This window comes from Homo sapiens, chromosome 17, assembly GCF_000001405.40.
Source record: "Homo sapiens chromosome 17, GRCh38.p14 Primary Assembly".
In the NCBI taxonomy this organism is placed as follows: Eukaryota; Metazoa; Chordata; class Mammalia; order Primates; family Hominidae; genus Homo; species Homo sapiens.
In genome coordinates this window covers 21,691,034-21,706,203 of record NC_000017.11, presented here as the reverse complement: position 1 = coordinate 21,706,203, position 15,170 = coordinate 21,691,034, and the positions used below count along the sequence as shown (strand labels likewise).

At 57.7% G+C, this 15,170-nt stretch overlaps 1 protein-coding gene across 2 annotated transcripts; it reads right to left on the bottom strand.

The window, feature by feature from the left end:
- On the bottom strand, window positions 1,592–13,681 carry KCNJ18 (potassium inwardly rectifying channel subfamily J member 18). Of its 2 annotated transcripts, NM_001194958.2 has the most exons (3): window positions 13,490–13,681; window positions 10,100–10,221; window positions 1,592–3,473 (listed from the first exon to the last, which is right to left on the bottom strand). In NM_001194958.2, exon 3 carries the CDS (start codon window positions 3,415–3,417, stop codon window positions 2,116–2,118), a length of 1,302 nt encoding a protein of 433 aa, NP_001181887.2. In that variant the 5' UTR covers window positions 3,418–3,473; window positions 10,100–10,221; window positions 13,490–13,681; the 3' UTR covers window positions 1,592–2,115. The 2 variants fall into 2 exon arrangements, with proteins under 2 accessions (NP_001181887.2, XP_005276976.1); XM_005276919.4 differs by lacking the exons at window positions 10,100–10,221; window positions 13,490–13,681 and adding an exon at window positions 6,021–6,752.

Here is a 15,170-nt window from a genome sequence, read left to right as displayed (position 1 = left end):
AGTGGAGACATTGGCACGCTCTGAAACTCTTCCTCGGCCCCTGCCTGCTACAAGCTGGAGCAGGGCTTCCCCTCCTGGGAAAGGAGTTGCCTGTCTCAGGTCAGCCTCCCCCAGCTGGGGAGGGCACTGCTGCAACTGCAGGCACCCAGCACATCCTTGCAGAAGGAAGGGAAGGCAGGAGGCTCGGCCCTGCCACCTGGGAGAGGTGACATCATGGGACAAGCCCTGTGTGCTTGCTGGAGACCACTGGGAGCTGCAAGGAGGGTGAGCTCTGTTCCGTCTCCCAACAACTGCCACCATGCCCCACCCTCACCCATGAGGAAGCCCCAGGAAACCCCCACCCAAGGCGGAGGCTGAGGAAGCCGGGTGGATGCCCAGCACGCTGTGGAGCCATGCAGGGGACCTTCAGAAAACACATCTCGACACAGGGGACCTCAAAGAGATCAAAATGCACTTAATGTGATCTAGTCTCATCGCCTATGTCTTTAGATACTGCTGTGCATTGAAAATAACATGAAAATTCTCCAGTTTCACCATTTAAAGTAATTTGACATTCTATGACCTCACGCAGGGCAGACACCCTATACAGGGGCCTCCCAACAGTGGCTCCTCCCCACCCCCCAGGACCCTCTGGGTGGGGACCGGGCAGCACAGCACCAGCAGAGGCTCAGGGGGTGGCCACCATGCTCTGAGCAGCAGGCATAGGCTGCACACAGACACACACTCAAGTACATGGGTTCACATGGGCACACACACAGCCTCCTACACAAGAGCCGGACGCACACGCTCACCTCCGGTCATCCCAGTTGGCAGGAGGGGGTAGTGATTCCTCTCCTTTCCTAAGATCTTTCCTCTGCCATTCAGCGTTGACCAGGGCCTGGCTGTGCCCTGCCTGAACTCTGCTGTGCTGCTCCAGGTGAGGGAGGGACAGGATGTGGTCCTATGTCAGGCAGACCTGGCCCCTGCCACATTCACAAGGCAGACAGAGGGGCTGGAGGAACTTCAGCAGCGGAGGTATGGGCGAGGTGGGGTGGGACAGGGTTGCAGGGAGATGAGCGAGCCCAGAAAGAACAGGACAACACGGAGTCTCTAACGCACGACTCACACTGTGGGCCCAGTGGGGACGGGGCTGCCAGCTTCCTCCTAGCCTGGGATCCTGACTTCCCTTCCCAAGGAGGCATCCTGGCCTATGGCTCCTAACCACCCCTCACTGTGGAATTGGGCGGAGGCCTGGACAGAAATGGAGAAAGAAGCAAAACAGGAAAATCGAGGGTGGGAGGAGGAACCCTCGATGGCAGGTCCCATGCCTGGCCCTGAGACACATCTCTAAGGTACAAAGGCAAACTCTAAAAGCTCAAACCACTTTCTTCCCAGACCCACCCAGCACCCCAAAGACAGCAGAAAGCTTTTATTACAATCATTAACATGGTCTTGATTTTTCTATCACAAACAGAGCCTAGCTGGCTCGTGAGCTCGACAAAGTGCGGCCCCAGAGCACCCTGCTTGCCCAGGGACTGCAGTGCCCACATACACGGGGAGAGGCCGGTCCCACCTCGGGGAACCCTCTGGAGCCTCCAGCCAGCTGCTGCATCCTGGCAGACCCATGGAATTCTAATTGTTCTTTTTGCCCCCTATGAATTAAAATTTTTTTCTCCAATTGCATGGTTTTTTTTTTTTTTGTAAACAGTCTCACCCAAGCTAAGGTCGAGAAAGCTGAAACCCGGTGTTTCTCCCCAAGTTAAAAACCAGCAAGGAGCACCGCAGCTAGCCAGCCTTGGACAGCAGAGGCTGGGCCCACCATCGAGCTGGGCTGCTTCCCCGCAGGCTGCAGCTCCATCTTCAGGCAGAAGCCCTGGCCCCCGTGGCCTGGCCCCCCAGGAGGCCACTTCTTTGCCCTGAGCCTGTGATAGCCTCTGAGGCCGGGGGCTGCCGCTCTGGCTGCCCCCTCTCCGGCCAACCTTCTGAGGCCTTTGCAAAGAAACATAAAACGACTAAAACGCTACTGAGTCTGCAACCCAGGGCACTGGGCCCGTTCTGCTCAAACCCAGGGCCCCTGAGCGACCGCGGGGCCTCTCCCCGGCCAGGGGTGGATGCTGCATGTCGGCCAAGGTTGGCTCAGATCTCTGACCCCCGTCTGTAGGGCCGCTGCTCCAGGACCCCGCCGCCAGCCTGGAGTCTGTCAAAGTCATGCCTGGCCTGGGGGCTGAGGCCATCCCGGCTTCGGCCGTCCTGGTCTCCGTCCGCCTCATCCTCCTCGTCACGGCTCAGGAAGGCCAGCTCGTTCTCATAGCAGAAGGAGTTGGCACTGGGCAGCAGGAACTTGTTCTCTACCAGATCCTTCGCACTGCAGCGGGGCGTAGAGGGCACCTCATAGGTCTTGTGGAAGTGCGAGTAGTCAATCTTGTACTGGTTCTTCTCCTCGAAGAGCACGGGCTCAAAGCGGTGACCCCACAGGATCTCATTGGCCAGGTAGGAGCTGCGGGCCTGGGTGGTCATGGCTGTGGCCTCCACCATGCCTTCCAGGATGACCACGATCTCAAAGTCGTCCGTCTCCAGGTCCTGCCGGCTGATGCCGAAGAGCGGGCTGGCCTCGTCAATTTCATGCAAGATGGTGATGGGCGACACCAGAAAGATGCGGTCCAGGCCCTTGTCGAAGCCCACATCGATGTCGATCTGGTCCAGCGGGATGTACTCGCCCTCCTCGGTGACCCGCGGCTTGATGAGCTGCGCGCGCACATGGGCCTCCACAATGTGGCTCTTGCGCAGGTTGCCCACACGCCACATGAGGCAGAGCTTGCCGTCACGCAGGGCCACCACGGCGTTGTGGCTGAACAGCAGCGTCTGTGCCCGCTTCTTGGGCCTTGCCATCTTGGCCATGATGGCACCAATCATGAAGGAGTCGATGATGCAGCCCACGATGGACTGGGCCACCACCATGAAGACGGCCACCAGGCACTCCTCCGTCACACAGCGCAGCCCGTAGCCGATGGTGGTCTGCGTCTCGATGGAGAAGAGGAAGGCCGCCATGAAGCCGTGCACCTGCATCACACAGGGTGTGCGGCCGTGGCCCTCAGCCGGCTCCAGGTCACCGTGTGCCACCGCGATGACCCAGAAGATGACGCCGAACAGCAGCCAGGAGGCAAGGAAGGCCAGCGAGAAGATGAGCAGCATGTAGCGCCAGCGGATGTCCACACAGGTGGTGAACATGTCAGCCAGGTAGCGCTGTGACTTCTCGTCCATGTTGGCGAACGCAATGTTGCACTGGCCATTCTTCTTGACGAAGCGGTTGCGGCACCTGCGCCGCGTGTGCACCTTGCCGTTGCCGAAGCCGTTGGCGCCCGACATGGTGACCAGGTGCAGCCCGTCCTCCTCCAATGACACGATGCTGTAGGGGTTGGCCCGGCTGGCCGCGGTCATCCCGGGGGTTGGGGGACCCTGGCTCACCCCCAGGCTAGCTCCAGGCAGGGCGGCTCCTGGAACAGAGAGGACAGCATGTCTGGCTGGGCTGGTGGCTCCAGGCTCCTCTACCCCCATCCCAGGGCCCCCAGACGTGACTGGAGGACGCTTCCACCCTGATTGACCCACAATCATGCTCTGGTCTTGCCTAAGCCAGCTCCCCACTCCGCCTTCCCAGTGCGAGTGGCCACCCCCTTCGGGCCCCCAGCAGCTCCAGCCAAAAACCTCAGCTCCACACCTCACTCCCACACTGAGGGCTCTGAAGAGTCTATTTAGGATCCGACCCCTTCTCCCACCCTCAAGGCCTGAATCTAACAGTGCCTGCCCAGCCAGTTCGGGGCACAACTTGCCAGCCTCTCTGCCTCTGCCGATGGCCCCCCAGTCTCCATGGCAGCCACAGAGGGCCTGTGGAAGCTGAGTCGGTGCCTATCCCTCCCTTGCTCAATGTCAGAGGCCCCCCAGGACATGCAGAACCTGCACAGGGAAGCTCCTGACCCCTCGGACTTCACCTCCCAGCCTCCTCCAGCGGACTCCCCATCCAGCCACAGCCCCTGGCACCAGGCTGTCCCTCAAACCCACCCTGGACACCCTCCCGCAAGACATCCTGCCACTGCCTCGCCACCTTGGCACCAGAGGCCTCCTTGTGCCCCAGGAAGACCCATGTCCCATCCCTGCTATATCCACAGCACTGCCCTTTCTAAGGGCACAATGGCGGCAGCAATAACAATAACGTAGCTGGGGGCACTCAACCATCAACCCCACCCTGAGACCACCACTCCCTAAGGGTAGCACATTTTCTTTTTTTTTCTTTTCTTTTTTCTTTTTTTTTTCTTTTTTAGACAGAATCTTCCTCTCATCACCTAGGCTGGAATGCAATGGCGCAATTTCAGCTCACTGCCATCTCCGCCTCCTAGGTTCAAGCGATTCTCCTGCCTCAGCTTCCTGAGCAGCTGGGATTATAGGTGCCCGCCACCACATCCAGCTAACTTTTGTATTTTAAGTAGAGACGGGGTTTCACCATGTTGGCCAGGCTGGTCTCAAACTCTTGACCTCAGGTGATCCACCTGCCTCGGCCTCCTGAAGTGCTGGGATTACAGGCGTGAGACGTTTTCTCTTTTGCTTCTTGTTGTCCTTCCCAGGGCCTAGAATGCGGCCTGCCACCCCTGTCGCCACCCACTTTGAACACCCCAAGCTGGGTCCCACCACCCTCCTGACACCCACATGCCATGCTTGCAGCTTCTTGGTCACCAGCAGTGCCAAAGAGGGTAAGATCTGGCACCCAGACATGGGCTGCTCCCTGGCTGACCTCAGCCGAGGGCCCTCCCCAGCCCCTGCTTCCCGCATCTCTAAGGAAGATTGCAAGGCTGCTACCCTGGCACCTGGGCAGTGCTCAGGGGTGTCACCTGTTCCCAGCACCACCCTCAGCTCACTGCAGGCAGCACCTGGCTCCAGGCCAGCCTACTGCACATTCAGGCACCCCAAGACAGGCCCCGCAGCAGGGCATCCATGCCAGCCAGAACAAAGCCTGCTCTCAGCCACTGATGTGCCCACCCCCGGGACACACAGGCTGTGCTGCCCCCACTAAAGGCCCCACACCGGCCTGTCAGTGACAGGCTAGGGCATCTGCAAGCTAGGGGCTATGGCACCGCCTGGCCCACAGCCACATCTGGATGGCAGCCTGCCTTGGCTGGGCTAGGCTGGAAGCAGGGAGACCTGGGCCTTCCAGCATTAGCCCCGACGGAGGAGCTGGACAGGCCCACCCCTCCCCGCCCACAGGGACCCAGCACCCCCAGTCCCAGTCCAGTCACACCATAACCTCAGAGCTAGACAAAGCCTTCTCCCTTAGCACACCTGCAGCCACATTACTCAGTTACGAAGACACTGAGGCCCCAAGAGAACATCCTGGGGGGATGGCACCACTGTGAACCAGGCGCTGCACACAGCCTTCTGCAGGCCTCTCAAGCCCTCCAGGGAGGGGTGGGCCACCCTGCTTTACAAACAAGGACCTGGAGGCCCAGAAGCCAGAATGGACTTGTCCCAGTCCCATAGGCAGGAGGCAGCAATGCCAGGACTCAGCCCCGGTCTGTGTGACCCAGCTTCTGGCCACGTCCACACTAGTCTGGGCCTCGGAGCAGGCGCGGCCTCTGAGCTCTGCTCCAAACACCTGAGCAACAGGTGATGGTGGAGCCGCCTGCCCGGCCAGGCTGTGGAACACTCCCAGGGGCTGCCTGGTTGCTTAGCCCCGAGCCCGCTGGTCCGAGCAGCACACAGCAACTGCCGCCTGAGAGAGACACAGGGAGAGCAGGCGGGGTCCTGGGCGCCTTGGGGGACAGATCCATCAACAGCTGCCCTCAGATCGTCCTCTCAACAACCCGGGGGTGCAGCCACCATCCAGGTTCAGAGAAGTTAAGTGACTTCCCCCAGGCCACACAGCCATTAAGCAGGAGAGTTGAGTTTTAAACCACCTCTAGCGCCGTCCCCCACCATGGGCCCCCAAGCTCTGCAGGGATGCCTTTCCTTACTCTGCCGTCCTTCCCCAACACCGCTGTGGCTGACCACCTCACCATGACGCTGAGGAGCTGGGACGCAGGGCCGGAATGGTGGACACTGCTTCTGCCTGGGCCTGGAAGTAGGGAGCTGGCGGCAGGGGGGACCCCTGAGGCTGTGCTGGGAAAGGGGCTCAGCCCCAGATTCCTGGACCCTCCAGAAGGAGGCAGCCAGGGCCGGGGCACTCAGACGCCGGCGTGAGGCCACCAGCTGACAGGGGCTGGATTTGTGTGGCCCAGGGGCCTTGAGGGACTTCCAGCGGGTCATGGCTGCTCCAGCCCCTGCTCCAAGCAGCTCAAAGCCTGCAAGGAACAGAATCACAAGAATTAAAGGCCAGAGAGCCCGGTCTGCATGTGCTCCCAGTAGCTGGCGGCCTCGAAACTGGCCAGCTACCAGACTGGTGAGGGTGCTGCCACAGCTCCTGGCATCTCTGCCAGGGCTGGGCACCCCAGACCTGCCCAGATGGTGTCATACAGGCTTGGAAACCCCCACTTCTGTTGACGTTCCTCTCTGCGTGGTTTTACCACACAGAGAGCATCAACAAGGTCAAGTTCATGCCCCACTCCCTCATTTCTCAGAGCCAAAAACTGACAAAGACACCTGTCCCAGGACCCCTGGAAACTGAGCAGAAGAGAGAGTTGGAGCCCAGAATGTCAGTCCTCAGCCTCACACAGCCCTGCTCTGCCGTGTGTGCATGTGTGTGTGTGTGAGAGAGAGAGAGAGAGACCCTCCCCAGGGGTGCTGGGAGCCCCCTCACTGGGCACTTGGTGAATACAGCACCACAAAGACAGACCCAGAAGGGGACCCTGGCATAGAAACCCTAGCACCACAAGCTAGACAATGTCCCAAGAACACTCCTGCGTAAACACAGGTGTGGCAAGAAGTTACACAAACATGCGGCCTTCAAGGTCGCAATTTAAGAAATATAGGACAATATCCTCCACCAGGGACACACAGGCCTTTTTGGCTCTTGCTCAATGGGGTGCATACAGTGAAATCAGACAAGACATGAAATCAGAGAAACTGTTTTGCTGGAAGAGGCCTTAGCAAGCAAGAAGGCTGGCTCCCCATTTCACAGATGGGAGAACCAAGTCCAAAAAGAAAAAGAGACTTGTCCCAGGTCACAAAGCAATTCCAGGGCCAAGACAAGGTGCTCACTACTAAAGTTAGGACCGTTTTCCACAGACACCGGGGTTGGCCTGCCAGGGTCCCAGGGTCGCCGGGAGGGGAATGGGAGAGGGGCGCTGGGGTACACTACCTGAGCTAGACAAGGCGGTTTCAACACCAAGGGGCAGTGAAGCAAACCCAGGAGGGAGAGAGCAGGCAGTGGGGAGAGAGCGCGGGCCCGGCAGACCCCCGGAGATCCCTGCTTTCCTGCTGGCCACAGTGCCTACAGACGCAGCCTCCCAGCGACCAGTCCACTTGAAGAACAGACCAGGGCCTGGGCTGGGAGCTTTTAGAGAGGATGCCAGACGGCAGCTGCCACGTGACCTAAGGGTGGGGTCCAGGAGTCACCGGGAGGTGCTTCCGGATGGAACTGGATGCCCCATGCCCACTGCCCTGAGGCCCTGGGCTTCTCAGGTTTCGGTGACATCTGGGAGGAGCCCAGGGCAAGGCCTGGACCCACATTCCCAGACACCAAGAAAGCACTGACTGGAAGGGAGAGTGCAGGCGCCTGCATCACCCAGGGTAAGACATAGGGACTCGGAGGGGGAGGCGCCAACAGCCCCCATCCCTCATGCAGAGACTGTTCAGCTAGCTAGGGCGCCTCATGAGGCACGAACACAGCACTCAGTATCTATCAAGTGCTTACTACCTGCCACGTGCTCTTCTAAGAGCTTTAATAAACTGATTCATTTAATCCCTTCCATCACACTGTGATTATTATCCCCATTTTCCAGATGAGCAGACGGAAGCCTAGGAAGATTGAGTCACTGTGATGGTTACACAGCCTTTCAGGAGTGAAGCTTCCAGGCTGGGCTGTAGGGGTGAAACCAGTGCCCCACAACACCAAGACCTGAGGCCTGACTGTGTGCGTGGCACTGCAATCCTTTTGGTCCCAAGCCCCTGCAATCCCAGGTGGTGATGAGATGTAGACTGCCACAAATCGGCACTCAAAAGAACAGGTTCAAGGGCCCTCACCAGCACTCCAACCCACAGCCACTCACCCTCATTCGGAGATGGGGCACTCTACCTCATGATCAAGCCTTACCATTGGAAGACCCCTTGGAGATCACTCAATGCAGGGAAGGCTGGCACACGCCTCCCCGCCCAAGGTGCCTGCTCCAGCCTCGCCCAGGCAAGCACCATTCCTCAGCCACAGAGCTTCATCCACTGCATCCAGAGCAGCTCAGAATCTTTCCTAATCCAGGCACCATTCATCAGATGCAGCACTGGGGCCTGGAAAGCCCAGCCCTTCCTTTGCAGATGGGGAGACTGAGGCTCTGAGCCAGTGGTGCCCTTGCTCCATCACATAGGGTGTGAGAGGCAGGGCTGGCTGCAGGGTTAGGGGCTCTCCCTCATGCCAGGCCCTGCCCTGGGTGTAGGACCACATCAAGGCTAGGCTGGGCACAGGCAGCCAGGAGGGGCACTGCTGGGGGACACTGCCAGAGCCAGGAGTGGGAGGCAAAGACGTGCTGGGCACCCTGGGGCAGTGAGGAAGCTTGGCTGGATGGGGGAGAACCCAGGCTGGTGTGGAGGGGAGAGGGAGAGTGGTGGGTGGCATTCCTATGTCTCATAATCTGGGAAGAAGATGATGACCTCTTACGCCCAATCCCCTTTCCAGGCCAAACTTCCCCACCAGAGACTCACCTGGCCTCTGTCCACCAAGCTAACCCATGGCCCTCAAACATTTGGGTCCAATGCCATGATGGCTTCCTATGCCAAATGCAGGCTAGGCCCGAGGAGAGAGGCAGCAGCAACACATCACTGTGTGCAGGGCATGGGGTGGTGGGTGCCCCACTGATATCCTAGGCCCTTACCACCTCAGGCCCACCTGTCTCAATTCCTACACGAACCAGTGTCTCTCTGCCCAAAAACTCTCTCTAGCCGTGGACATGCTCTGCCATTCAGAGGGCAGGCTGAGGAGCTGATGCTGCCAGGACAGCTTTCAGTCAGTGACTGATGGGAGCAGGTGGCTGGGCCCCAGCAAGCTGCCCCTGGGAGGGGCACTGCTTCCCTGGCCTCCCCAGCGGGAGTCAGCTCCAGTGCCCCAGCAGTAACTGTATCAACGACATGCCCTTTATCACTTCCTTCTCTTTCTCACCTCATTTCCTTATTTCCTGGGATCACCTCCCAGGAAACTACTTGCGCTGGAACCTTTGTCTCCTGGGCCTTCCTCATAGGGTCTCCAGTAGCCTCTCCACAGCAAAGGCTCTTGAACCCTGGCCTCCCCTCCTGGATGCTGTACACCAAGTCTCCTCCTGCTCTTCCTCCTCCACCTTCTGCCCCACAATACTGAGCTGCCTTCTCCTCCGCCTCCTCCACCTCCTCCTCCTCCCCTGGCCCCCTTTAGGATCCTCTAGCACTGGGCTTTTCCCATTCAGGCCAGAAGCTACTTCCCACCTTGTGTGAGAGTTGATCTTGCCCAGGCCCCATCTCTGACCAAGCTCAGAGGTCTAGAGAGGCTGATGCAGGTACTAGCAAAGAGGGGCACCCAGGAAATGCATCCCAGCCAGATGAAGGGTGAAGGACTAAGCAGCTGAATGGGATGGATGAGGAGATGGGTGGAAGAGTGATTGAATCAACATGTGGGTGGTCAGGCAGATGGGTGGATAAATCGGGTTGACAGATGGGTGGGTGGATGATAGGGGTGAGCAGATAGATGGACTGGCTAGGTGGGTGGAAGGATGGGTGGATGGATGGTTGAGCAGATGAATGGGTGGGGGAATGGGTGAGGAACGGATGGCATGGGCGAGGGGATGGATGGAGGGGTGGAGGCATGGGTGGGTGGATGGAAGGCTGAGCAGATAAATGGGTGGGGGAATGGGTGATGAAAGGATGGCATGGTGGGTGGAGGGGTGAAGGATGTACAGATGAGAGTCTGGTGGAAGGAATGCCTAGATGCACAAGAGCATGTCAATGACTTCACTCTTACCTCTTGAGTTCTGTCTTCTACGTAATGGTGCTGAGTAGGCACGGTACTGTCTTCAAGGCTGAATTAGTAGTGGCTGCCATTTCCCAGGCACCAGCTGGAAAGGATCCAGTCACTAGAACATCCTAAAGTTAAAAGAGTAAAGCCAAGTTACTGCAGGCGGTGCTGCTCTTCTCAGAGGGGCACAGAAGTAAGACATAACCACATGAACCCACATTTCTGCTCACTTCCCCAGGGCCCCACAGGAGATGGAAGGGCCTCTGGCCTGCACCTTTGATGCCCCACACCTTCACAGCATAGCAACCATCCAGAACCAGAGAAGAGCAGAACAAGATGGAGTGTCAGAGAAAAATGACCGCTGACAATTATTGAGTGCCTATTGCATGCCAGACACTATAGTAGGCATTTTACATACATCATCTCACATAATCCTCACAATTCCACAAGGTTGGAACTATTGTTGTTACTATTCCAGAGAAGTAGTTAATGTGGTAATTCTCCCACTGTCACAAAGGAATTCAGGCCCTCAGCCTGTACTCCCAGCCACCACCTGCAGAGCCTTCCCAACGCCAACCTTGGAGCCAGTTGTGAATAGCTGGGGGGGTGGATGAATGAATGGGTAGATGGATGGATGGATGGATGGATGGATGGAAGGATGGATGGATGATGGATAGGTGGGTGGAAAAATGAATGCAGGGATGAATGGGTAGGTGGATGGATAAATGGATGAGTGGGTATATGGATGAATGAATACATGGGTGGGTGGATGGATGGATGGGTGAATGAGTGGTTGGGTGTGAGGGTGGATGGCTGTATGGAGGAAGGATGGATGAGTGGATGAATGGGTGAATGGATGAGTGGATGAATGGATAATAGGATGGAAAGATGGATGGATGGATGGATGGATGAATGGATGGATGGATGGATGGTTGGATAGATGGATGGATAAGTGTGAAAGTAGATGATTGGATGGATGGATGAACAGAAGGGTAGATGGGTGGGTGACTGAGCGGATGGGTAGATGAATGAATGGAGGGATAGATGGGTGAATGGGTGGATGGATGGATGGATGGGTGGATGGATGGGTAATGGGTGGGTGGATGGATGGATAGACGAATGGGATGGATGGATGGGCAGATGATTGGGTGGATGGATGGGTGAGTGAATGAGTGGATGGGTGAGTGAAGAAGTGAATGGATAGAGGGATGGCTGGGTGGATGGGTGGGTATATGGTTGAGTGGGTGGATGAACAGATTAATGGATGAATGGGTGACGGGTGCATGGATGGATGGATGGATGGAATGTTGGGTGATGGATGGGTGGAGTGAATGAGTGGATGAGTGGATGGGTGGATAGATGGACAGGTGGATGAGTGTATGGGTGGGTAAAGAAATGAATGGATAGAGGGATGGAAGGGTGGATGGATGGACAGATGGGTGAATGGATGGGTGGGTGGATGGGTGGGTAGATGGATAGATGGATGGGTGGATGGGTGGATGGATGGGTGGGTAGATGGATAGATGGATGGGTGGATGAGTGTGAGGGTGGGTGATGAGTGGGTAGATGGATGGATAGGGTGTTTGGGCAAGTAGGATAGATGACTAGATGGATGAGCAGGTGGGCACATGGCTAACTACATGGATGGGCACACATCAGTAATTTGCCAGAGATTTGCCTTGGGTACACATACATCCTACATGGTCCCTGCAATCCCAAAGATGCAATTTCCCCACCTGTCAAAGGGATCCCCCTGCCTTCCTATCCAGTGTGCCGTGAGAATCAGAGAAGAGGTTGGTGGGAAGGGGCTCTGAGGATCTCCACGGTGAGCCACCTGACATGCTTCTCACCTCCGCACCTCCCAGCCATGGAGTTCATGGGGCCTGCCCTTTCCAAGGTTACAGCCGAGGCTGGTTTGTCACACTGGTTTTTCTGGCTGGAATTAAGGCAACTGTTGGTGAGTCACCCCCACATCATCAGCCTCCTGGGACAGGTGACAGTGGTTTACAGGCACACAGACCTAGATTCAAATCCCAGCTCTGCCCCTCATAAGCTGTGTGACCTTGAGTGAGTCACTTCCCCTCTCTCAGCTTGTTCTGAAATGGGATGGCCTGCCTGGTCTCTAGTGGCCCTTCAGTCCCTCTTCACCCTCCAAGTCCCCCAATCCCCAGCCCCTTCTTCCCCATCCCTCATCATTCTGGGAGCAGAAGCCACAGGCCTACACTTTGCCTCTCTCAGCCATTCCATCCTCAAAACTGATGGGGACACAGAGGTTCAGAGATGGATGGGTGGATGGATGGACGGGTGGATGGATGGACAGGTGGATGAGCTGCAGAGTTTCAGAGAGGTTCTGTCACAAGCCAACATCAAACAGCTGGGGACCTCCACGGCAGGGACTTGGGTCCACCCCCTTCCCCGAGTGAGCCAACACTGTGCTTGGCCCTGCATGCTTGGCAGCTGGCTGCAGTCATCCCGATGCTCACAGCCCTGCCTTGGAGGAGGGACAATTCTCCCCTCTGGACAGATAGGAAAACTGAGGCTGAGAGAAGCTAAGTCACCTGCACAGTCACCTGGAGCTGGAACTCTGAGCAGCGAAGGTCGGATATTGCCACAGGGCCATGGGGAGCCAAGCAGGGGTGGGGGCCAGAAGTGTGGGCAGCAGCATCTATCCACATCCTGCTGGTCACCTGGCTTGCACCAGGCTCTCCCAACCTCGTCCCTCACTCCCTACTACCTGAAAGGGGCATTCCCCAGACCACAAATCCAGCTGGATTTGTTTTTATCTAGGAGGAAGGCAAAATTAGCTCTACTCTACACAGGGGTACTGAGACGTAGAGCAGAGAAGCGAATTTCCTGAAGTCACAGGGCAGGGCAGCACCCTGCAAACAGGAGCCAGCCTTCCGGATGCCCTGGCCAGAGCTCCCGCCACCTGCAGGGGCCACAGCAGCCGCCATGTGAGCTCACCCCGCCAAGTCCCACAAATGCTTCCCGGGGTTATGGTCACAATCCTGGATGGGGAGGTGGGCTGCAGGGGCAGTGCTTCCCCATGACCACGACTGAGGGCCAACAGGCCGGGCTGGCCCACAGCGTCCCGCAGGGGAGGGCAGGGCCTGGGCTGAGGATGGGGCTGAAATCCCCCACGGAACAGGGCAAGGCACTTCCCCTTCCTGAGGCTCAGCTTCCCCTGAAAAATGAGGCTGGTGTCGCCTGCCAGGCCTCTCAGAGGGTGTGCCATGAAATTGAAGGTGGTGACGAAGCTGCAGTCCGGGCACTGGGCCTCGCCCCAGCGGGTCTCTGGGAGGTGGCAGCCGTCACCCTCCCTGGAGAGGCCTGGCAGCCCCCCAGCTGACTGGGGCCTGAAACTCCCCATCTGCAAAATGAGGAGACCCCACACACCTCGGGAGACTGTCACGAGGGTAAGCCAAGCCCTGGCTTCAGTATCTGTCCCACAGAGACGATGCAGCAGTGTGGGTCCTGCAGGCGTTCACTGTGACCGGCGTTCCTGACACCACGTAGGCACTGAAAGCAGAAACAGGCTTCCCAACAGGACGGAAAGCTGACTGTGCCCAAGCCTCCCTGTGGCCTGCTGGATGTCCTCAGAAGCCCCCCTGGCCCGCAAGGAGCCACAAAACGCACAAGGGCAGGATCTGCCTCGCTGTTCCATGCTCGGGATGCGCCCAGCCCACAGAGGATGCTCAGAAAGTGGAAGCTGCAGGAACCTTGAGTGACACTGACCCCTCACATTCTGTGGCGTAAAGATGGGGGCTGGACATATGGACCCCAGAAAGAGGCTGCACCAAGCGGCTAGAAAAGGCAAATGTCCACCCTTAAGCCCTGAGGTGAGGCCAGGTCAGAAGATTCTGGCCCCACAGGGTGGACGACAGTCACACCAAACACCAGGGAATGTTTCTGACGGTATTTTTATCTTGAGAACATCCTTCTTCACAGAGGGTGGGGGCAGGAGGGACAGAGGGTGTCCTTGGCCCCAGGCCCCTGGGAGAAGCAGAGAACAGAGGCCCTGCAGTAGTGCCCTCTGCTGGGGTGGCCATCACAGACACTGCCCCATCCCTGGGCTCCATTAAGTCCCACGAACAGGGGAGACCTGGAGGGTCTTGGGGCCCTTCTAGGACTCCTGGCTCTGCCCCAACTTGCTGTGTGACCTGGAGCAGGGCTCTGTCCCTCTCTGGGTCTCCCTCTTCAAGTCCTCACTGGGCACCGAGGACTTGAAGAGGAAGCATTGGGCGCCTGCCTTCATGGGGCACCCTGCCTCACAGGGCAGACGGTGAGAAGTCAGCAGTCATAAGTCGCTGGGCCCTCTGGAGCCCAGGGGAGGTGTCTAACCCAGTGGCAGGAGGGGTGCTTCCTAGAGGAGTATCTGCCAGTGGGGAGGCAGCAGCGAGCAGCAGGGGTGACAACCCCGCCTGAGACTAACCATAGCACAGTGACACAGCTAAGAGCACCAGAGTCCTGCAGTCTTGGTGCAGATTCCAGCTTCACTCTCCAGGCACTGGGCCTTGGGCAAGACCCACCCTGACTGTGTGCAAACCAGGGGGCTGGCCCAGCTACTCCACAGAAGCCCTGCCAGCCCTCCATTCCAGGATCTAAACTATTCGGGGTTTGTGGGGAAGGTGTGACGAGATGGGCACAGCCTTGACACCATCATATCAGGGAAGCTCAGCGTGTGCAGGCACAGAGGCTGAGGCATCACCCCAGGGGGCCTCAGATGTCATATTAATGAGCCTAGACTTGATCCCAAAGGCAATGGGGAGCCCAAGGGCCATAAGAGAGCTTGAAACTATAAGAGTTCTGGGGCAACAAGGCATGAATTCAAATCCTGTCTCCATCCCTTCTTGTGTGGCCTTGGGCTAGCCACATAACCTCTCTGAACCGCAGTTTTCTCACCTATAAAATGGAACTAATCATAGCACCTATCTCATGAGGTTGCAATGGAGTTTCCATGAGTGAACACATGGTGACTGGCCAGCTGGGAACTCCCTGTCCCCCCACCCTCTCCCTTCATCACAGCTATGAGCCTCTGCCTCACCCTGCAGAGAGTCACAGGCCCCTTTAGGGTCTC

What these genes read in the sequence shown, in the direction of transcription:
- KCNJ18 (XM_005276919.4), bottom strand. Translation starts at nt 6,270, where the DNA reads ATGACCCGCTGGAAGTCCCTCAAGGCCCCTGGGCCACACAAATCCAGC. An exon ending in CCCAGCTCCTCAGCGTCATG is followed by an intron (nt 3,474 to 6,020) that starts GTGAGGTGGTCA and finishes TCTCTGTTCCAG; the next exon opens with GAGCCGCCCTGCCTGGAGCT.